Raw genomic sequence first — 23,346 nt, 5'->3', positions numbered from 1 at the left:
TTTGTAATGCTGTTACTAAATGTTAATGAGGTGCTTGAGATCTGTCACATGATACAGAGGACTTATAACAATTTTTGTGGACAAGGATCACATCTCTTTAGCTGCAGAATTTCCTAAATAGAATTAAGTTCGTATTTAACCATAGTTCACCTAGTCCGTATTTAAACATTAGACCATTTGCCCTAAAATCCTGTTGGTTTTTCATTCCATTTTGTTTTAGTGTTCCCTTAAATACCACTTGATTTCAAAAGCGATTGTTTACAAACCAGCAGCTCAGATAATATAGAGATTAATTCTTATATCTCTTGAACTGACTTTACAAAAAGGAACTGAGATATAATAGAGTTATATCTATTCTTCCCCCTGAGTTGGCTTCTTTCTTTGAGTTGATGGGGACACATATTCACCTCCAGTGAAGACATCCAGCTTCAGCTGCTTCTACATGTCCTTTCTATACTGAAGTAGAAAAAGGTACACCAAAAAATTGGCCATAGCCTGGATCCTTGGGCAACTTCAAGTTGTTAGTTATCAGCATCATAATCTGATAGTCCAAGAGCATGCTGACACAGATTTAAATCCCAGACCAGCTTTATTTTAGATACTCAACTTGTGTATAAAATTAGACTGTTTGAGCCTTAGTTTCCTTAGGTGTAATAATAATAATAATCCTCATTGTTATCAATTTATCCTGAGGAGAAAAATAAGATATTTGAATATGCCGCATAAACTAGAAATTGTTAATGTTTATCGGTAGGAGCAATTTTTGTAATGGTGGATTTACGAAAAGGTATTAGCACTTGAAAGGATTAAAAAATGGGAAATATATATTTACAAAGCACAAGACAAATGTATATTCAAAAGCTACAATTCTGAAATTCTAAATGTCTTTTTAATTAGGAAGAAAGCTTCTAGATCCATTTTGAGAATTCTGATCTTCCATAAAAAAAATTATTAAATCAGCTTTTAAAACTTGAGCCAGGCCGGGCTCAGTGGCTCACGCCTGTAATCCCAGCACTCTGGGAGGCTGAGGTGGGCGGATTACGAGGTCAGGAGATCAAGATCATCCTGGCTAACACGGTGAAACCCCGTCTCTACTAAAAATACAAAAAATTAGCCGGGTGTGGTGGCGGGCGCCTGTAGCCCCAGCTACTCCGGAGGCTGAGGCAGGAGAATGGAGTGAACCCAGGAGGCGGAGCTTGCAGTGAGCCGAGATGGCGTCACTGCACTCCAGCCTAGGCGACAGAGTGTGAGACTCCGTCTCAAAAAAAAAAAAAAAAAAAAACTTGAGCCAAATGGAAATCAGAGAAGACATGCAATAGAAGTTTCAACTACTAAAAGGCAGGTTTAATATTAAGAAGAATGTCATACAGTTGAGGAATGTCCCAAGCCAAAGATGCTTTCTGAAGGTGGTTGCTTTGGTGCATAACCAACTGGAGTGTCATATAAATTGTTCTTTTGGTGATTTAGCAGCACGTGAACCTTTCCTATTGGAATCTTAAAATTTTTCTAGTCATATTTTCAAACCACAACTCAAGGATGATAAATAATAATAAAAGCAGCATAATAATAGGTACCACCTGTTGAACAAAATCTATGAAAAATACTATCAAGGCACTTTCCACCTGTACCCAATTTAATCCCCATAAGCAGTAGTATGAAGAGATATTATTAACCTTCCACGGATGGGAGGACTGAGACCAAGTTCAAGGCAGGTGGCTTAATTTGTTTCTTTCCATTAAGCTGTTTGGTTTCCTTTTTTTTTTTTTTTAATCAATTTTACTTGCATTTTAAGTCCTTCCATCTTTTTCTAACAAATATCCCTTCACAGCTGAGGAAAAAATATAAAATGGACAGATTTTAATTCAGAATTCTCTCCCTTCCTCTCCCTTTCCAGTCCGTTCGGAGAGCCAGCTGAGAGATAGTTTTGGATCAAAAAGAAGTCTCAGTGACAGCACTAGATAACAGTCATCAGTACTTTAATAGCTGCACCAATAGTATCCAGAAACCATGGCCACTGTCTTCCAGTTTAATTTTTAATTTTTGGAAGAATGGTCATACAAAATTGTTCAGAAAAAATCATCCTCCTCTTGGGGTATTTTAAATATGCAATGAAAAATCTTCCTAAGGCTGGGCGCAGTGGCTCACGCCTGTAATCCCAACACTTTTGAGAAGCTGAGGTGGGTGGATCGCTTGAGCTCAGAAGTTCAATACCAGCCTGGGCAACATGGCAAAACCCTGTCTCTACAAAAAATTAGCTGGGTGTGGTGGTGCGCTACTCGGGAGGCTGAGGTGGGAGGATAGCATGACCCCGGGAGGCGGAGGTTGCAGTGAGCCTCCCCAACAAAAAAAAATCCTCCCCCAAATATGAATTGGTGAATTGGGGTCTATCTGGGTTATTCTAGTTTTTTATTTTATTTCCAATGTCCATCTCATACCACTGGGCTCAGTGCTAACAGCAGAAATCCCTAATATAACTTGCCAGATCTTTGGCAGCCTTTTCACCTTGTCTGATGTCCAGTACTTGCATATTTCTTCATATTAATGGAGCTGATTTTGAGTGGGGTTTATTGTTTGGGTTTTTGGTTCTTTTTTAGTCCTCTGTATCATCTCATCACATGCATTAAGCTAAGTCCCAAATGAGAGCAGAGAAATCCAATGAACAAATGTGTAAATGGCATTCCCTTATTCTAAATTTCTTTCCCTTTTGATGAGCCCTGCAAGTTCATAGAAATGTGCCCTTAAGTGAAATTTAGGCAGATCTCTATGCAGACTTTAAGGACATTAATTTGTTTTTCAATACAAGGAAAATAATCATGGGAGCATAACTTATGTAGGCAGCGAGTACAAAAACCAACTACTCCTATAGTTCAAAATAATGAACTATAGAAAAGTAGAGTTTATTATTTGATTAGCTGCTATTTGGTGCTGTGATGCTCAACTGAAAGAAGTTTTCTGCAGCAATACCAGGTATCCAGTAGCCTTTTCCCCAACTATATTCTAAAGCCCATAGAGCAGAGAACATGTCTACTCAGGCACCACTCCTCCTACAGTGCTTTCCCCAAATGGGGCTTTGCAGCAGCGGCAGACTATCTGACTCACCTAACAAAATCAAAGGCTATGTATCCAAAGCAACCACAGGCGTGGCATGGGTCTTCACCAGTTACCAGGTCTTCCTTTGCCTCTGGTAAAGGAAATGCAGAAATAGTCAATGAACAAATCCCAAAATGCTTCTGGAGCCTTCATCTGCTGACCATCCCCATATGGAAATTGCCAATGTGTAAGATCAATATGTCTCTAGAACTTCCATCTCAATTGCTTACTTTATGTAAGTGGCTTTTTTATGCTATTAGCTTCAGGAGCAATTAAGTCAGCCAAGAAATAAAAACAAGTATCTGTTGGCTTCTTTCGCTTTACAGAATATGAAGTTATATCCAGAGAAAATGGGTCATTCAGTGGGAAGAACAAGTCCATTCAAATGACAAATCAGACATTTTCCACAGTAGAAAATCTGAAACCAAACACGAGGTAAGCCACCAGTGCTATTCCAGGTAAATTCTGAGAGTGCAAAAGTTATAACCACAACAAGGGAAAGAAATGATAATCATCTTCTCTGTCTTGAGGGTGGCTCTAGCTTCCATTTCACTCTTGGGTTTTCTATATATAGCACTAGATACCTCTGGAGTCATGTTTTGCAAATACTTGAATTACTGGTGGGTTTAAAATTGCTGACAAGGTGGTCTTGTTAATTAACAGTATTACATCTTTAAAAAAACATCTGATACCAAATGTTGATATTAAATACAAAAATAAAAGTCTGTGGACCAGTGACAACTGGACTGTGCATAATGTAAACTACATGGGAAGCACCAAAAAATTAAAACGCTGGAAAGGAGAGGGCAAGAAAAGGAAAGTCTTGTGACAAAATGTAGGTGAAAGTTTTTAAGCGTTAATACTTAAAATAACTACAGACTAGTCTCAGGCACAGCAATTCTTTGCTTTGGGACCTTTTATCATGGATAAAATGAAATAGGGTTTTGACAAGAGTTACATATCTTTAACGTTGTTTGATAACTTTTCTAAGTATCCCTGTTTATTACACATTGATACCAGGTTGTTCATATTGCTGTACAGTTTTGTGATTCTTTTTTCAATCTAAAATATCCAACATTTTATTAGTTCATTTTATTACTGAAAGAAAAATAAGTGTCTTAGACATTTCTAGAAATGTAGTAAGGAAGTTCCAAGTTTTTTTTTTTTTTCATAATGTTCACATTGTCATCAATTGATTGAATTGAATTAGTTATTGATAGTGACGCTCAAAAGAGCCTATTTTGGCTCTGACAGTAGGGAGACTCTTCTGATCTTTTTGTAGAAAAGGGAGGACCATCTAATTCACTACAGGCAGTTCACTGTGTATAAACTAGTCCGATACTGCAAAAACAATACTTCTTTCACAAGCATGGGGTTTTTCTTTAAAGTTCTCTAAGATATATTTTACAACTGCTAATTTTCTTAAAAGACTTTTAGCCAAAATAAGCATATGTCAGTAAAAGCCCATTTGCTCTTTGTTCTGTTTCCTTAGCATTTCCTTAGATCGAGAGGGGGAGAAAGTCTGTTTTGCCATAATATATTTGAAGGAATGAGTGAAAGAAAAGGTCACTTAATTTGGACTTTTTAATAGGTGAATTTGTGCTTATGAAAGTTGGCTTTTCCGTTTTCTGCTTTTTATTCCACTTTATAAAAAGTGACTTGTAAAGTACAAGACAGTCATTGAAAGGCATCCAGTTTCTAAATGTTCACTGTGGTTTTTTTCTGAATTGGACTGTCCTCAGATCTTCTCACAGTGCACTTATTAGCTCATGATCTGAATGTTGAATACAGTTATTTCAGTATCATTTTAAACCCAATTTGTTTGTAAAAGGTTTGCATTTGCATTTCCATTCAGCAAACATTTATTAAGTATGGCTACACACACGAATAAACATGGTGGCTGCCCTTGAACTCAAGGCTAGAGGAGAGGCAGTTAATGACCAAGGATTCTACACAAAGTAGTGAGAACTCTGAATGAAGCATGCCCAAGGTGCTATGGGATCCCAGGGTGGGAGGCACTACGCAACGTCATCAGAAATTAGGAAAATCTTCCTGAAGAAGGTGACACCTGGTCTGAGGCTTGAAGTATGAGTGGGAAGGAGCTAGTCAGGTGATTATAGGCAAAGAGAGTGTTAGAATAGTGTATGTCAGTACACGGAGGGCCAAAATGGCATGGTTGTGTGCAGTGAAAAATAGGCTATTTTTACCTCAGCATGAGTAACGGTAAGTGGATGGGAGGCAAAGGAAACAGTGGGAAGCCAGGGTGGAGAGGGTCTTATAAGCCAGATCAGGAGATGGGGAGACTCTGAAGGGTGGTAATTGGGAGGATGACTTGCTCCCACTTTTCATTTGTGTTTTCATTCTGGCTTTTAGTCGGAATAATCACTTTTAGTATTTGAGCCTGTTTATATTGAGCAACAGTTGCTGGAATAAATCTAATAAAAAATAACTTTTTGTTCATGTCTTGGCAAGAGTGCCATTTGGGTATCTGACCTGCCTGGTGAAGTAGGTAGAGAAAAGTGCCCCAGGGCTAAGATGCATTTTATTCTGTAATCACAGGTCATGGGGCTCACATGTAGCTTCTGGTTGTAATTGTTTTAGGACTTATTCTAGCTGTTTCTAGAAATTGCTTCACACTGAAAGACAGTATGGCCCTCTTTATCCCACCCTCATTATATGTCCTGTTTATTGCTCCTGTCTTTTGTCAGTGGGCCTTCTGAGGAGGACCCCTAAAACCTATCCTTACCTCAAGACTAGCAAAGCCCAGAGGAGTGCCTGTCTAGATTTTTTCTTTTTTCTTTTTTTTTTTTTTGAGACAGAGTCTTGCTCTTGTCACCCAGGCTGGAGCACAATGGTGTGATCTCGGCTCACTGCAACCTCTGCCTCCAGGGTTCAAGCGATTCTCCTGCCTGAGCCTCCAAAGTAGCTGGGATTACGGGCACCTACCACCACACCCGGCTACTTTTTTTGTATTTTTAGTAGAGATGGGGTTTCTCCACGTTGGCTAGGCTGGTCTTGAACTCCTGACCTCAGGTGACTAACCTGCCTCAGCTTCCCAAAGTGCTGGGATTACAGGTGTGAGCCACCACGCCCAGCCCCCGTCTAGATTTAGCTTTGGGAAAAAGCAATGTTAAATCAAGTTTAGGGCCTTCTAAATCAGGATCCCATGCCGAATTTTACCACTGGCACTAATTTGAGGTCATTCAGTGTGTCTATTATATGTGGCTTACTTAACATTATTTTAAGAATTTGGTATGGTTCAGTGAAATCCATCAGGATATCAAAATCATTAATTTTCATATAAATGATTTGGCCAGGATTATATTGGTAGTCCCTAACTAATGGATCATGACTTAGGAGTTGTAAATCAGTAGTCTGAAGTAAAGAACATTTTTGCATTTGGGGAAAAATATAATACATATGGATGTAAAGGTGCTTTCATGAACACTGTTTAGTCCTCAGTATGTGAAACTTTATGGTGGTCAAGGAGTTCAATAGATCCTAGCCTCCGATGAGCCTCTGAATGAATTTCACATCTCTTTTACCAGGTATGTCAGAGATTCAATGAGCAAAAATGTTTGGGCTGAAATATTAAAATATATTGAAATCTCCATTAGAAAAAATAATGAATTATGGAAAAGTAAAATGAGGTAAATTATTTCAATTAGAGATTTCTGAAGCCTAAAAGTATCTGGGGAAACAAAAGTAACACCTGTTAAATAATTGGAGATCATAAAAAAAGCATACCAAGTAAGTGTAGGATTGATACCAAGGTTCTGTGATTTAGGAGAGAACGCTTCATAGAATACTTGAGACTAGAATTTGATAAAGAATAGGATGGAAGGGGTAAGCCAACAAGGAAAGGAAAAACAATAACACTATTTTTCTTTCTCATCAAATCCATATACATGATTTAGGTGACACACAAGTAGTTCTCAAACTTACTACTGATAGCAAGGCTACAGCCAGAATAATAAAATCACTAGTGTCCAAATAGTATGAAAAGCTTTTTTCATACTACCTTAAGTTGTTAAGGCAAGGTTTCTTTCCATTGTGTTTCTTCTACCCAACCATGATCCAAGATTAACACTAATAAAAGACACCATAAAATAAAGAGGAAGTATGTACAGGATGCAGCCACCACATGGCTCTTGTTAGCTGTAAAAAAATAATAATAATAACTCTAGTCATATTTCAATGCTTGGAGGAAATTTGGAATCAAAGTGTATGGCAAAGTTGAATTTTTGAAATAGATAAACTTTGAATTATAGCTGTTAAAATTCCCTCATGAGGTTCTGGAATTCCCTGTTTGAATAACTGGAAGATGGATCAAAGCTTCTGAAAGAATTATTACAGCAGTGTTCCAACACTAGGAGATATATGTAAATCATTTATTTTAGTAGCATTTTCCATCACTTGTCCTGACTAAAAAACATGAGATCTGAATTCAGATGATAATTACTGGCTAAACTTTACCCACAGACATGGGTGGAGTAGAGCTTCACGTTACAACACTTAACCCAGGAGAAACAAGGCAGGGATTAGAGATCTATAGAGTGCTTTTGTTAGAAATTCTGAATGCTCACACCCTAATCCTGAAACAGAGTGACAGTGGAGTATTCCCCTACCTTTCCTTTCACAGTGTATACCAACCTTCTCCTGCTTGTTTTCATGACATAAGCAGGTTTTTATCTAGCCTGCCAGAAGCTCAAAAAATTGTCCAAAGGACCATCCAGCAGCTGTTTTGCTAATGGTAGAGTTTAGCTCCACACCTGGCATTAGACATTCTTGTCAATAGAGAGCCACATGGGTGCAGCTCCAAAGGTGCAGCTGGGTGCAGCTCCAAAGGTGGCCTTAAGGGGCCTCCCCAGCCTGGCTACCAGCTGCAGTGCACTGTGGTTACATATGTGCACAGGGAAGGGGGTGTCATTTGTGGGGAGATGTGATTGTTTTAGTCAAATGATGCAAAAGAGATGTTAACACAGGCAAATTTCATCTCTTTAGGGGATCCCTCTCTCACCCCTTACTCCTAAAATAAAAAGAAATTGTAGATATTGGTATCCAGCTCAATCAGTACTCATCTACCCTCCCCAGTATTTACTTTCCATTTATTTCTAACCTAGAGGTCCTCTTCTAACAGAAAACCAAGTACTGTATGTTCTCTTATAAGTGGGAGCCAAATGAGGAGAACACATGGACATAAAGAGGGGAACAGCAGACACTGGGGTCCACTGAAGGGTGGGAGAAGGGAGAGGAGCAGAAAAATCAACTATTGAGTGCTAGGCTTTGTATCTGAGTGACAAAATAATCTGTACAACGAACTCCTGTGACATGAGTTTACCTACATAACAAACCTGCACATGTACCCCTAAAATGAAAATTTAAAAAAAAAACCCTCTCTGCCATACAATTACCCAAGAACACCAATCCTCTGTGTGTCTCCTTAGGCAATGTATGCCTCTTGTTAAACTAAAAGAAAAATATTAAGAGCCTCTCCTATCTAGAGCAAACCACTTTGCAAAGACCACTATGATTAGCTTTAGTTCTGCGAATAGAGCAGCTGATAAAGTATGCCTTAATAAGTCTTACACCACTGCTTATTGGGACAGTGAGTGTGGATTATCGTTCTCTTAAGTCTCCTCCAGCTCTAAAATGATATAATTCTGTGATATTCAAAGCCATGCATGGAGTCGGCCAGAGAACTGAAACTGAAAACTAAAACCTAGCTCAATCCCATAACAAGCAGAATTGTCCCAGTAAACATTTTTTTTTGTCTTTAAATCTCTGTCTGCAGTCTGCAATTTGTTTTCAGATGAATTGTTTCTAGCACACATTTTGATAATCCACTGATGGACGGAGTTCTTCCTAATGAACTGGCTGGGCAAATGGATGAACACACACAATCACTGCACACTGAAAAAGCCCTTTAATCCTACTCTTCTCTTCCAATGAACTCACCTCTCTCCTTACTTTACTGAAAAATTAAAGAATTCATTGTGTGTGCCAGACTTACATGTGGTCTAATAATTTCCTATGGAAAATGTACTGTCTAGTAATTGAGATAAATCAAATTCACTTAATCTGCTCAAGTACTTTTACTGACCTCTCTGGCTTGGGAGGATTTTGAAGAACAAATCTTCCTCTAAGACTGAAACTTACCAAAGTATCCTATAGCTGGCAGCAATGATGGTTTGGGACTGTTGTTTTGTTGATTTAATAAAATGTTGGCACTGGTTAGCTGGAATAGACACAGCAATTTCTTATACACTGTCAATCTGGCTGAATGATGCAGGCATGTGGAATAGCCATTATACCCTTTTCATAGTGTTTCTGCGAAATTCTAGTCTCTGCATATTCTGTATTAACTTCTCAACATCTCTTCTTATGGGCTTTGTAGAAAGGAGTAAAATAAGCTACCAAAGCGTCAGGCATTTTATTTAGTTTGTGGTAGGTGTGGGCAGCAGCAGACCAATTCCTTCCTTGTTGAAGAAGAAATTGACTTGATTGCTCAGTTTGACAACTTTTCATGGGGCAGAAGGACAGCTACCTAAAAGTACATAACTCCACTAGTCTATAAAGAGAACAACTATTCCCTCTCACATAACCACATAGTTTTATTTTTCTTTGCTATTGCTTGGCATTTAGGAAGGGAGTGGAAGAAAGTGATAACAGTACCACAGAATTAGAGTACAGCCCAACTCTGGAATTTGTGTCCCCACAGAAGTGGGGGAACACAAAAAAATGCCCCTTATGGCATAAGAGCCAGCTAGTTTATGACCCCACGACTACTGATACCCTGATTTAGCCTTATTTTGTCTTCTGAGTGCCCCCTTGGCTCTCCCCTCTTGCTCCTTATCTGTGTTCCCAGATCAGCATAATAACTTTACATGTGGCAGGTATCCAGAAATGCTTACCATAATCCTTCAGTGTCCTTGCAGTCAAGCTTACCCAAACTGATTAGATTCTCCTTTCCCATGTTGAGCAGTCCTTCCTCTTTTTTTCTTATTCTACTTGTCCATTTATCTCCCTCTGAACCTTCACCTGAATGGGGATCAAATATTTCACGACTACACTAGGGGTAAAACTCGGCTGAACAACTCAAACCAACAGCTATAGGGTAGACTTTCTATATAAAAAACAGTTTGCTTGAGATTTGTAAGACTTTTGTTAGAATGAAAACCAACTTTTTAAATCAGTAAGGAGTATGTAACTAAAAAGTTTATTAAATAATGAAAACTTTACTTCAGTTCTAAATTGTAGGCAAAAAATAGAAGGAAAAGATTATAGAAAGGATCAAAACGGGGTAGGGAATGGCAAGCATCTGCTCCATCCAGATCTGAAGGTTATGCTTGAGGATATTACCTCTTCCACTAAAGAAGAAATCAGTCTCAGGCTAGAAGCCTACAGGTTGGAGGTTCTTGTCTCTTAACAGTTTTGCTCATGAGCCACAGGTCACACTTTTTGAAATCCTAGTTTTTCACTTTTCAATGAACTGATCTATGTTTTTTTGTTCTCATGCTGATTTTTACAGCTGCTCTCAAACTGTTGGTGTCAAACAATACCCTCTATTATGCCACTCTTCTGAGATAATGCTTTTTAGTGCTTTCTAGACTCAATGAAATATTAATATAACATTTTTTTCTTAGCCTGTGGATCTATGTTGATGGCAGGCAGAAAGGTTTACCTGTTAAATTTTCGATCTTTCCAATAACCCGTGGGCTATACCCTTCTTATAAACTTCACAAGCAAAAAGCAAGTGTGTGGCCATAGAAGAGTTCTGCCTTGAGAGTTCTATGGCAGTGTTTGTCAAATTCCCCAATAACAGAAACTCTTTAAAAAAAATTATCTAGAGATACAAATATGATACTAGTGAATACTTATTACTATGTGTCAAGCACCTTGCTTTTACATGCATTCTCATTTAATCCTCACAGATGCTTTTATAGCCCCCGTGAAGTTATAATTACTATAACGAATAGTATCCTCACAAATAGCATTATCCTCATTTTTATGTAAGAGTAAACTGAAGCTCAGAGAGGTTAAGTTACCTTAAAGTCACACATTAGTGAGCTGTGAATCTTTCTGGTTCTAGAACCCATGTTTTTAACGCCCCCTGGATCATGCTGCCTCCTGATGGGGATGCGCGGGGAAGATTGTTTTTTTTTTGTTTGTTTGTTTTTGGAGGGGATTTACACCTACCCAGGTAGAATCAGGCATGGCATTCTGTGAGGCTTTATTTACCTGGCTTGTCCTAGATGGGGCCAAAAGGCTTGACAGCATTTGTCATCTGGACTGCATTCCATTTAGATATTCATTTTGATGTGGTAGGTCTTATAGTTCTTTAATTTTCATCAGAAATATATGTACAGTTTTAAAATTAAATTATCACAAAAGCATCTCCTCCCTGTTGCTAAATTTGGTTCCCCAGATGCAAATTTTTTTTTTACCATTTTGTCCATTACTTCTGTCAATTAAATCCCTATGTCTAGACTGACCTTTTCACAAGATGCTCAAATACTCCAGTCATTTCTTTGTTCTATTTGTTGTATGTTTTTAATGGCAACATCTCTTTTGGAATTCCTATACATCCTTTGCCTCTGTTTTGAATCCCAATTCCTGCATCACAAGACTTCTTCCTTGTTTACTCCATTACTTTGTAGCACTAAAGAAATAAATCTTGAGGAAAAGTTATAAAAGGCAATATTTTTGAGTCCTCACATGTTTTAAAAGTTGTTTTACTTTGATACTATTCTTTAGCTGGACATATTAGGATATAATGAAGACTTTTGAAGGAATTGTTCTATTTTCTAACTTCCAGTGTTACTGTTAAAAAGTCAAATGTCATCCTGATTCTGGATCCCTTGAACGGGACCTATTTTCTTCTCAGTTTTGAGGACTTGTCTTTATCACCCCAGTACTCTGAAATTTTGTAACTCATGTTTTAGTCCTTTTTCTTTTATTCATTTTGCTGGGCAGAGTAGGTCTTTTCAATCTGGAAACTCTTGTCTTTCAGTACTGGGAAATTTATTACAAAGTTTCTAGGATAATTTTCTATCTCCTTTCCTTTCTTTCTTCTACAATTCCTACTAGTTGGGTACCATATTCTCTGGAATAATTCTCCAACTTTCTTTTCTCTCATTTTTTCATCTCTTTGACTTTTTGTTCTAGTATTTGTGAAATGTCCTCAACTTTATCTTCCAAAACTTCTATTTGAAGTTTCTTACTTCAAATAACTGTTTCCTGAAACTTTAAATTTTATTTTCTATGTACAATCAATATTGAGACATTTCTCTTAGACCTATGATGTCATTCATCTGTGACAAAATGTGCTTCTTCAGAAAAAATTTTACCAACACAAATAATTTTTGTTATATAGGGTTTAATCAGGCCAAAACAAAAATGTGCCTTTCAGTTCCCATGTTAATTAAATTTAGTGCAAAATAATTTCTTTGAAACTTGTCAAATATCACAAAATATTGGCCAAAAAAAAAAAAAAAAACCCAAAAAGTAGCTTGTATATGTGGCATGCTGAAAATGGAGCTTAAGTGTACGTAACTGTGAAATAAAAAGACATGGAGACAATTCCAGCAATCAGACTTGGCCAAAGCACAGGGCTTTTGGCAATGGCCTGGAACGAATGTGGAATGCACTGCCCATTTGAATCAAAGTCCAGATGGCTATGATTTCTTTTTTTCCATTTTCAGTTCACTGTAGTTCTATGGGCTTTTTTGTTTTGTTTTGTTTTCAGGCCTCTTAGCAAAAATTTAATCTCTGGAAAATATTTCATGTGAAAATACCCCATGTGTGTGTGATTTCTGTAGGTGACAAAGGTGTTTTTGTATCAACAATCTCTCATTGCAAATGACAATGACAAAGGCATGTGCCACCATGCCCAGCTAATTTTTGTATTTTTAGTAGAGACAGGGTTTCTCCATGTTGGTCAGGCTGGTCTCAAACTCAGGACCTCATGTGATCTGCCTGCCTCGGCCTCCCGAAGTGCTGGGATTACAGGCACGAGCCACCGCACCTGGCCAGTTTTAAAGTTTTGAAAAGCAAAAATAGTAACAGTACAAGTGTTTTGAGCCTCATTGCTCTCAGCTGAAAATTAGGATAAGATTTATCTCATCAGGGTTTACATGTGTTGTATTGCTTTATATATGTAGAATGTCTAATGCATCTGATACATAGTAAGCATTCAGAAAATGGTTGCCATTGTTGTAGCACTAGAATCTGTTCTTAGATACTAGCAATGTTAACACAATACCTCAGTGATCAAGAAACTGACTCAAATTTTTTTTCCTGCTCATTTAGTACCATCCGTACCAAACTGACAGCTGTCATCCATTTTTCACTTGTTTATAAAATATCTATCTTTTGTGCATTCTGCATTCTTATTTAATTATAAACTTCTCAAAGACGAAATTTATCTCCCAAAAGCCTTGAGCAAATCTGAAACTCTCAAAATATTATTAGCTGACTCAGGTTGACTTTTGAATTCAATGTTCTTTCACTGCCAAGTCCACTTGCTGCTGAAGGGAAATCTTAATTTCAGGCAAATGGCAAATTGCTTTACTGTTTACATTTCTTTAAAAGATTTGCTTTGCTTACATATTTTATGAATAAAAATTGCTAATACTGCACAATAATTTGAAGAATAATTCTTAAGGATACAATCAACGGAACTTATAATTCCAAGGGACCTAGGGTTGTTTGGGGGTTTTGTTTAACAAAAGGTTAAGGGACTGGCCGATATGAATTTGGGGTATGGAGGGAGAGAAATGCCTGTGTTTGTGTTCCTGCTCTTTGTAAGGCAACATTACCATGCCTCTTTTCTGGAGACATCATAGAATCCTGTGATCCACAGAAGACCCAAGTTCCAGGCGATACAACTAGGAAGTCCTTGCAAAGAAACATTTATGTGTATCTATTCCCATAGCTTAGTCTACAGTTAAACAGACTAACTATAGCTTAGTCTAGTAGTTCTCAAACTTCAGTGGGCACATGACTCACCTAGGGAAGTTATAAATTCTTACCTGAATCTCCTCAAAAATTGCTTCAATACCTAGAGTAGGACAAGACACTTTCACCACTGCCACCCTATGATGTGATTCTGACATAAGTAGTTCAAACTCCACAGTGAGAAAGATGGCCTAAGTCCAGGGTTATACTCAGGGTTGGGATAACAGAAAATAAAATGGAATCTTGCCACTTCTTGGCCCCAGGAAGTAGCTGAGACATCTTAAAGAAACAGGCTCCTTGTTACTGGAATTAGCCTTTGTCTACCATATACCACTTTCTTATATGTTTATTAACCTGCCAAGTCATTTGTACTAATTGGGAGATTTTTAAAGACAACCATCTTTTTTATTAACTTAATGCTTACTCAAACATTAGACAAGCTGTTCAGATAGTAAAACTAAGAAATCATTTTTCTTTCCTCAACCTGCTTCTGGAACATATGTTACCATTCACTGTCATAATTTCAAAGGGATGTCAGTATAGTGGATGTCCGTATAATAGGGCAATGTTGCCTCCTAGCCCTCAAGAATGTATTACAAGTATTTTTTTATTTTCCCCTAAACAGTTATGAATTCCAGGTGAAACCCAAAAACCCGCTTGGTGAAGGCCCGGTCAGCAACACAGTGGCATTCAGTACTGAATCAGGTAATTACATCAACAGTAATTCCCAAAAAGGATGTAAAAGGGCCACAGTGGAGCAATGTTTTGCGTAGGAAGTTTGTTTGAAACCCACTACATGTACTGTTTCTTGAATTTCTAAAAACCCATTTGTGGGAAAAAGCAAACTGATGAAGGTTTAGAGAAACACCATGCATATTTTTCCTCACTTAAAGACACATCAGTTTAATTTAAAAAGCATAATGAATCTATACTCTTCCAAAAAGCTAGTCAATGAATCCTCTCCTGCATGTCTAGAATGAAAATACCAGTGAGTACATCCACAAAGGGAACCCATGATAGTTTAATAACAGCTGTCAAACTTCCCAATTAGACCTTACAATCTCCAATTCCTTAATGAGATACATCTGCACATACAGCATTAATATTTGCATAATTTTTATACCAACTGTAGTTCATGGCATCTTGGTGATTTTTACCATGAAGTTTTTCTATCAAACTAAAAGCAGCAGCTTTTGAAATTCAAGTGAAAGCTGGAACAGCGACAAATGTTCCTAAGTACTCAAATTACATGTAACAGATACAGCTGAATACCTACCAGGCAGGAGATTATTCAATCAAGAACAATTTCCAAAACAAAGCAAACTTTCAAATTCAATCCTTAGCAAAAGAGTACCATTTTGCAAATAAGACTTCTTAACAAGTGTAAGCCCCCATCATCTTCACCATGCCACTGGAATGTTGGGGTTTTACCTAGTAAGGTCTGACTTTTCTATTTATTTCTCCTCAGCGGACCCAAGAGTGAGTGAGCCAGTTTCTGGTAAGTACCTGTCTCAATGAGGCACAACTACATGCTTTTCTAAATTTATTCAACTGAACAGGCATGGCAGAATCTGAATCATGATTTCGCGTTTTTCCACTTAGTCTTCTTATAACACCAAACAGTTGTGAATGTTTACCTACACATTGTACAACACTGAGGACCCATGATGTTCTGGGAACAAGTTGGACATTTTGAAATTTGCTTTCACTCATGCACCAGGCTTATTACTGTTTAATAAAACAGCCAGTGTAATCCCAGCACTCTGAGAGGCTGAGGTGGGAGGATTGCTTGAGCCCAGGAGCTGGAGACCAGCCTGGCAACGTAATGAGACTCCCTCTCTACAAAAAATTTAAAAATAAAAAATTAGCTAGGCATGATGATGCACACCTGTGGTCCTAGCTACTTGGGAGGCTGAGGTGGGATGTTCACTTGAGCCCAGGAGGTTAATGCTACAGTGAGCCATTATCCAGCTTGGGCAACAGAGTGAGATCCTGTCTCAAAAAAAAAAAAAGATATTAACACCCTCATTTCCACTTTTAATAACAAGTCATATTAAAGCAGTTGTCTAAACTTTATAACATGCTACAAAAAAGAAACCTAAATTTGCTCCTAAATGACACTGTCTACATCCAGCTCTGCAGAGGCTATTCAACACCTAAACACCTTAACATGCTGCTCTCAGATTTATCTATTGACAGAAACTTACTCTGGGGTTTACTTGTTTAAATCCCTCTAATATTTTTGGCTCCAGTATTTAGCATGGGGGGAAAAAAAGGTATCAGCAAGTTGACAAATTTTGTAAACTGATTTCTTGAAGTATCTGACCCAAGAGTCAGATACTAAACTCAAACTATTTTCCTTTTGTAGCAGGAAGAGATGCCATCTGGACTGAAAGACCCTTTAATTCAGACTCTTACTCAGAGTGTAAGGGCAAACAATATGTCAAAAGGACATGGTATAAAAAATTTGTAGGAGTGCAGCTGTGCAACTCTCTCAGATACAAGATTTACTTGAGCGACTCCCTCACAGGTAAGCAGAGCTACCAGCTCTGTTTTCAGCCCTTAACTTATGGGAATGTTTTGCAGCATTGTACAACTTGGCCTTTTCTTAAGAGTTTCAGGCACGAATGGGTGCTGTAAACACAAGTTTTCCTCTGAGCAAAATGTTACGGAAACAGTTATCATTCCTAGAAAGCAAGGATTTAAGACATGCTATTAGAAGGTAAATAATAAAAATGCAATTATAAAACAGTGCCATCATGACAAACTGGAATGTACATTCACTAACCATGGTCAAACTCCATTTTGTTACAACCATCCAGGGATAAAAAAACCGACTGACAATAAAGTGACTAAATCTAACAATAACCATGGAATGAATATAACATCTTCAAGATGCTAGAAGAGCTACAACCCCCTGCTCCGTGCCCAATAGGTTATAATTTTCTATATTTACAGAGTAAAAATTTTTAATGAATAGGCCTGGCCCTAACATTAAAAAGTAGATTTTTTTCAGTCATTCAACTCTTCTAAGTGCTGAACACAAAGCAGCATAAAAGATATTTCCTATTTTCCTAAAGCTTACCTCTCCTTCCCTTCCTTAGTAAGAAGAGATAGACAATACATAAATAAGTAAACATTTCATAGAGGTACTTTAAAGAACATTTTCAAAAAGGTGAAGGCCTCTCTAAAAAGTTAGTTAGCACTAGCTAAGGAGAAAATTGAGAAGGAACTAACCACACAAAGGTCTAGAGGAAAGAGAAGGTCAAAGGCCTAAGGTAGAATACACCTGGCCAGTTCCACCAGTATGGCCCAGACTTAGTAAGTGGAGGGGCAGGCAGGTGTGAAATCATGTGGAGTTTGAAATCAGGTAAGAACTTTGGATTTTATTCTGAGTATAATGGGAGACTGCTGGGGAAATTTATGGAGAGAACGAACATTAACTGACATGCATTTTTAAAAGATCACTAATCCCTGAAAGGGAGGGGAGGAAGAATACAGGTAGGCAAGAAACATTGTTGGTTTGAACTAGGGTAATAGAGAATGAGGGGAGAAAGTACAAAAACAGTAATGATGATTTCAAAATTGTCACATTTCAAAGTAAGAAAGTAAACTTTATCCTTTTAATTTCTGGTTCTTCAGGAAAATTTTATAACATAGGTGATCAGAGGGGCCATGGAGAAGATCACTGCCAGTTTGTGGATTCATTTTTAGATGGACGCACTGGGCAGCAACTCACTTCTGACCAGTTACCAATCAAAGAAGGTATGTTTTCTGATCCTCCTCATAAGAACAGAGTTTTACAGATTAACTCAGAAAGAAATCAAGCTGAGGAAAGCAAGCAATTTAAAAAGAATTCTATAGTACTACTGCTCCACATATCTAGGAAAAAATGAAGACTTCAATGTAAGTTTCTCAGCTTAGAAACCTGGAGCCAAGGGAAATTACAGACATAATATAAATGCATTCTACTTCAAGAAACTCTAAACTTGCAAAAACAGCTATAAAAAAGCAGTTTCCCAAACTTAAATCACTCATTTATTAATGTTATGGGTTTTGTCATACTGAGTGTACTTGCGTTATTTTTATTTCCTTAAGAAAAAAAATTTTTTAACTACTGCTATCATAAATGGAAAAAATAGTACTTACCTTGCAAGTAACTGTATAAATATAATTAGAATAATTCTGTGGGAAATGAATAACCTCTGTAAATTGCTAAAGACCCATTGGCACCAAGCTGTGTAATGAGGACTGAATAAGACTGAAAATTAATCCTTGTCTAAGCAGTGCAGAAGGGGGTAAATTAATTGTTCCTATTAGTCCAGAATCACCTGGAGGTTCTCTAAATAAACTATTTGATTCGATTTTTCAGTAACACATTTTGTTCACGGGCACTTAAAAATACCAACAATACTGAAAGATGACCTACTAAGTTCTTTGAACACATAATGGGCAGTGAAACTCACTACCAACCATCCCCTCCTAACTTGACACGGCAAATGTCAACAATTTTTCAGGTGCCCATTTTAGCCAACCATGACTACACCTCAGGAAAAAACACCAGAACTTCTTGCTCTCAGTTTTCTAAATTACCTCGCTTCACTAAGATTAGCCTTCAGCTAGTCAACGACATCCTTCAATCTATGAGCTGTGAGGGCAAAAATATAATACAGCAGCTATTAAAATGAAACTATTTTCTCTCTCAGGTTATTTCAGAGCAGTTCGCCAGGAACCTGTCCAATTTGGAGAAATAGGTGGTCACACCCAAATCAATTATGTTCAGTGGTATGAATGTGGGACTACAATTCCTGGAAAATGGTAGATGCTGCACAAAGTTACCTTCTGTTTCATCATTGCAAACAAAAATCATTGAAAATACTATGCCGCATTCATTTAAAGCTATTTTGTTTACTATGTATAAAAGTCTACAATCTAATTAATAGCAATACTAGATGTTTATTATTAGAAAAGATTGCTGAGAGTATTTATCAGGTTTTACAAAGTCATTTTAAGAAAGCAAGATACTGATGTTAACAGAATAACATTTTTGGGGAAGCTGGCTCCCTATTCATGGTATTTTAAGAGATCATTTGTATATTATTTATCACACTGTTGTAATGATGTTTTGAGATACTTTTATAACAAAATTAACATCAAAAAGGTATATACTTTTTAAAAAAAATTTACTTTTATTGATGTGTACTCTTCCTATTGATGAGTTAATTCCATAAATCTCTACTTAGTTTAACTTATTGGATCAAATTATCTTCAGCATGTATATCTGGGGAAAAAAGGTCCGAATTTTCACATTTATATTTAAACTTCAATTTTTTATATTTAAACTTCAATTTTTTAGCAACAGCTGAATAGCTTTGCGGAGGAGTTTAATAGTTACACATTCATGCTAATATACATTTCCTTTAAACATCCACAAATTCTTAAAAAGATTGAATCAGTAAATTTCATTTCAGCTAAAAATGGAGTCTAATATATTGTTTCAAAAGATACATTTTTACCCACCATAAATGTTACAATATCTGAATATGCTTTGTCAAACTATCCCTTTATGCAATCGTCTTCATATTGTTTTTATGATTCTAATCAAGCTGTATGTAGAGACTGAATGTGAAGTCAAGTCTGAGCACAAAAAGATAATGCACGATGAGATTGCCTACCATTTTATAGGATATTTACTATGTATTTATACGTTAAGACCTCTATGAATGAATGTATCAGAGAATGTCTTTGTAACTGTTTAATTCAATCTGTAATAAAAATCTAACTAACTAACTCATTTATTTCTATTAAAAAGGTATTGTCCTTTAGGCGGGGAATGGGAATCCTTGCTGCACTGTTGCAGTCATTCTGAAAGGACCTTTCCCTGTACTTACCTTTCAACATGCTTCAATCTTATCAACGCTACATTTTGTATTTTTCAAACAAGTATAAATTCTGCAATAAAGAGATGTAGTTTTTTTTTAAGATTGAGTTTTTGTTTGTTATTTCTGAATGGTTCATCAGTATGTTAACTATACCTTTTATCGAGAAGGAAAATCACTAAGTTTTATTCAGGCTCTACCAACCCCCATTATATCTACTGTTTGTTTATGTCCTAAATTAACCTTTCATCCTATGAAGTAATAAAGTTCATTTTAAACCAACGATTACCAAATGCATTTTTTTCAAAGGAAGGGCAAAAACCAAATGGCACTGTTTTCTCTGAATGGAAATCTGTAAGTTAGTTAAAATGTTTATACTTCATTTTAAGACCAAACACCAATAAGGACTTCTGAAAAATTGTTCCTTTTTTCACATAATGTTAGTGACTAAATTAAAATTTCAAGACCACTAATGGATTCAATCATCTTTATTAACCTATCATCAGTGTTACATTTTATACATAATATCTTGTATTCTCAAAGGGCTCTACTTTAGTACATCATGTTAATAGTAAAAAGCCAAGTAAGATGGCTAAACCTCACCCTAGCATTTTAATATCCTCCGGACAAGGGAAGCTAGAAAGTCAAGTCAATCACTTTATACATGTAAGAGTAGTGTTCCAAAGTAACTAAGAAGCTGCTACATTTTTAAGCAGGGAGGAAAAAACTTTCATTTTGGTCTTTGTGTTCCAGCAAATTATACTTTCAATTAACACCAACAATGATATCATAAAAAATGCTCTGCTTTTAAATTTCTGAACTTCTTCAATACAAATTAAAATAGTACTGGAGTCTTTTGGGAGGCCAATAGCTAGCAGCTACATTAATTGGTGTAGAGGAGCCTCCTTATCGATAACCAGGTCCAGGTTGGGTATAGCCCTGACCAAAGGGAGGACGGTTACGCGCATAAGGATTAGGCCCACTTGGAGGAGGGGTCATGGTACTTCCAGGAAGTGAAGTAAAACCTGGTCTTGGTTGATAGGCCCCAGGTTGGCTTGGAGCCATTCCAGGTTGAGAGGCAGGAGCCACAGTATAATTAGTAGGCTGAGAAGTTTGGGCAGTGTAAGTTTGTGCAGGATAATTGCTCGCCTGGTACTGCTGTGGCGGCTGAGCAGGCAGTTGTTGAGGCTGACCAGAAAAGGCAGGAGCTGGTGCCTGGGAAGTTGGTTGCTGGCCATATCCCTGGAACTGCTGAGGTTGTTGAGGTCCAGTCTGCTGACTATAGCTTGCTGAAAAGGCAAAATAAATAACATGTATCTTATCTTTTAGTAAAACTACTTTTCCAAAGAATTAGTCTTACTGTTAGGTGGACCAAAAATGGTGAGAAATTTAATAAATATGTATGTAACAAGCAGAGTGGTAGATTCCATCACATAATATTTCAAGACCAAGTAGTTATCAAAGAGGCATTCTCTACAATTTTTTAAACTCTCTAAGACATAATCCCTGAGAGCAAATTCCTGACATAGCATAATTCCTAGAACAGATGCTCAAATGATAAATGAAAGAATTATACTTTCTAGGAAGACCAAAAATGGGAAAGCTAAATAGTCATTAACCAGGTTTTCAGGGGAGACCTACTTAACAGTATCAAATAAAAACACATTGCGGAGAATGAACATTTTTATATGAAATAATACTATAAATACATCTTATTGTACTAATCAGGTGCTTTAAATTTTGCAAATAAATAAAAAGTACCATTTTCACAATCTTTAAAATCATTCCTTTTAGATTTGGTATCTGATGTTTTTTGCCTTTACAACTCAAAATTTTTACTTAGCAGTACAGCATAACACATAAAAAGCATACCATATTGCCCCATAAAAAGCAACATCTATATTCATTATTTACTAGGATGTAATTTTTTTTACAACGAAAGTCTGCTTCACTGAAAACTTTTATCTCTACCATGAAACACACCTGCAGCTACTTGCAATGAAACCTCTCCATTGACTGGAATCCTGTCAGCATTAAATACCAGATACATAAGAAAATTATTAAAATATGTACAACCCTGCATTAAAAAAAAAAAGGATTGAATGAATTTGAGTATATTCTGAACTCACCTTGAACCTGGGTTCAAAATTTACTCATGAAAGAAACCTTTATGACATAGTCCATGAACAAAACTGGAAAAGGTCAGAGGGAAACTGGCAAACCAACAGTGTCAAAGATGGTCCAATGTTACCACCACCACCTCTTAGTCTCCAAGCAGAGTATTTAGTTGACTATTTCCATATCTCTCAATCAAATTCAAGTTAATAGACTAGTAGGATCAGAAATACAAAGATAATAATTTGAAAAGACTAAATTTTACTCAGAGTGAAGACCCTGACTAAATTTATTAAGAGCAAGCTTAGTTCTTAATAAGTAAATCAAGTATCTTTAACGCATTAACTCATGGTAGCATCTAAATACTGACCTGAAACCAACTCATAAAAAATTCTGAATGTCATACAAGTTCTCCTATCCTCTACATAAAACTTAAATTTTCACTATAAGGTTTTGAAGAAATAGATGGATTCAGCTTTATACTGAAAATGCCTATTCATTTTAACACTGCGAGAAAAAAGAAAAGTGCCTTTTCATCCTGGCACCTGAAATCTGAATTGTTTTTTTTTAACTGGGCCTGGAAGTAATCTGATCCTTAATTATTGCTTAGGGGAGGGAATAACCCTACAGGCTGAAGATTTCATTAGCAGCCCACCAGTCTCTTGAACATAATGTGGCAATGCTTCTATCATGTGTGTGTGTGTATATATATAGTCTCCCTTCCGTCCCTCCAAAATAATAAATAACTTTAGGTGAAGGACATCAGAAATAGCAAAAAAATGGAAATATGGAAATTATGTGAGTTTTTTTTTTAATACATAGGACATCTAGCCTTTTATGGAGTAAGTCTGCCAACTCCAGTCTAGGTTGTAGAATGCAGAATGATACAGGGAAATACTGAACTGATCCAGCTCCCTCCACTGAATGGCTGTATGTGCTTTGACAAGTCACAATCTCTTTCAAAACTAGTTGCCTCATTTATAAAATGCAAACGCCTGAGTCCCACACCCAATCAAATGAAATTCAAAATCTCTGGGAATGGGGCCCCACACATAGCCTCCCCCAGGTGATTCTAAAGCATAGTGAGGACCGAAATCCCGAGATTAAATGATGACTAAATCTCTTCAGCTCTGCTATTCTTTCTATAAATAACATAGTTTGTAACACTGATTTTTTTAAAAGAACTGCATCCTAAAAATAACCTTCCTCCTGATATAATCCAAACTTAAGTTCTATGTATTTTATACAATTAAAAACAAGTAGCTACAAGTTAAGTCACTCTACAGCAAATACAATCTAAATA

The 23,346-nt window shown here is 36.9% G+C and overlaps 2 protein-coding genes across 68 annotated transcripts in view; one reads left to right on the top strand and one right to left on the bottom strand.

Annotated features, from left to right (window-relative positions):
- Nucleotides 1-20,210, top strand: part of ABI3BP (ABI family member 3 binding protein) — a 244,266-nt gene extending 224,056 nt beyond the window's left edge. For 49 of the 56 annotated variants that reach the window (XM_006713572.4, NM_001377332.1, XM_047447926.1 and 46 more), the window contains 6 exons: nucleotides 3,417-3,525; nucleotides 14,675-14,754; nucleotides 15,518-15,547; nucleotides 16,418-16,579; nucleotides 17,692-17,814; nucleotides 18,756-20,210. In XM_006713572.4, coding sequence (XP_006713635.1) covers nucleotides 3,417-3,525; nucleotides 14,675-14,754; nucleotides 15,518-15,547; nucleotides 16,418-16,579; nucleotides 17,692-17,814; nucleotides 18,756-18,871 — 620 coding nt within the window. In that variant the 3' untranslated portion in view covers nucleotides 18,872-20,210. The remainder of the gene's footprint in view (nucleotides 1-3,416; nucleotides 3,526-14,674; nucleotides 14,755-15,517; nucleotides 15,548-16,417; nucleotides 16,580-17,691; nucleotides 17,815-18,755) is intronic. The other 7 variants (NM_001349329.2, NM_015429.4, NM_001349332.2 and 4 more) reach the window with 1 other exon arrangement.
- Nucleotides 20,399-23,346, bottom strand: part of TFG (trafficking from ER to golgi regulator) — a 39,678-nt gene continuing 36,730 nt past the window's right edge. For 9 of the 12 annotated variants that reach the window (NM_001007565.2, XM_005247066.3, XM_006713472.2 and 6 more), the window contains exon 8: nucleotides 20,399-21,217. In NM_001007565.2, the coding sequence (NP_001007566.1) occupies nucleotides 20,835-21,217 (383 nt within the window). In that variant the 3' untranslated portion in view covers nucleotides 20,399-20,834. The remainder of the gene's footprint in view (nucleotides 21,218-23,346) is intronic. The other 3 variants (NM_006070.6, NM_001195479.2, NM_001195478.2) reach the window with 1 other exon arrangement.

The sequence above is a fragment of the Homo sapiens genome, chromosome 3 (genome assembly GCF_000001405.40).
Source record: "Homo sapiens chromosome 3, GRCh38.p14 Primary Assembly".
Lineage (NCBI taxonomy): Eukaryota > Metazoa > Chordata > Mammalia > Primates > Hominidae > Homo > Homo sapiens.
This window is presented reverse-complemented; position numbering and strand designations above follow the sequence as displayed.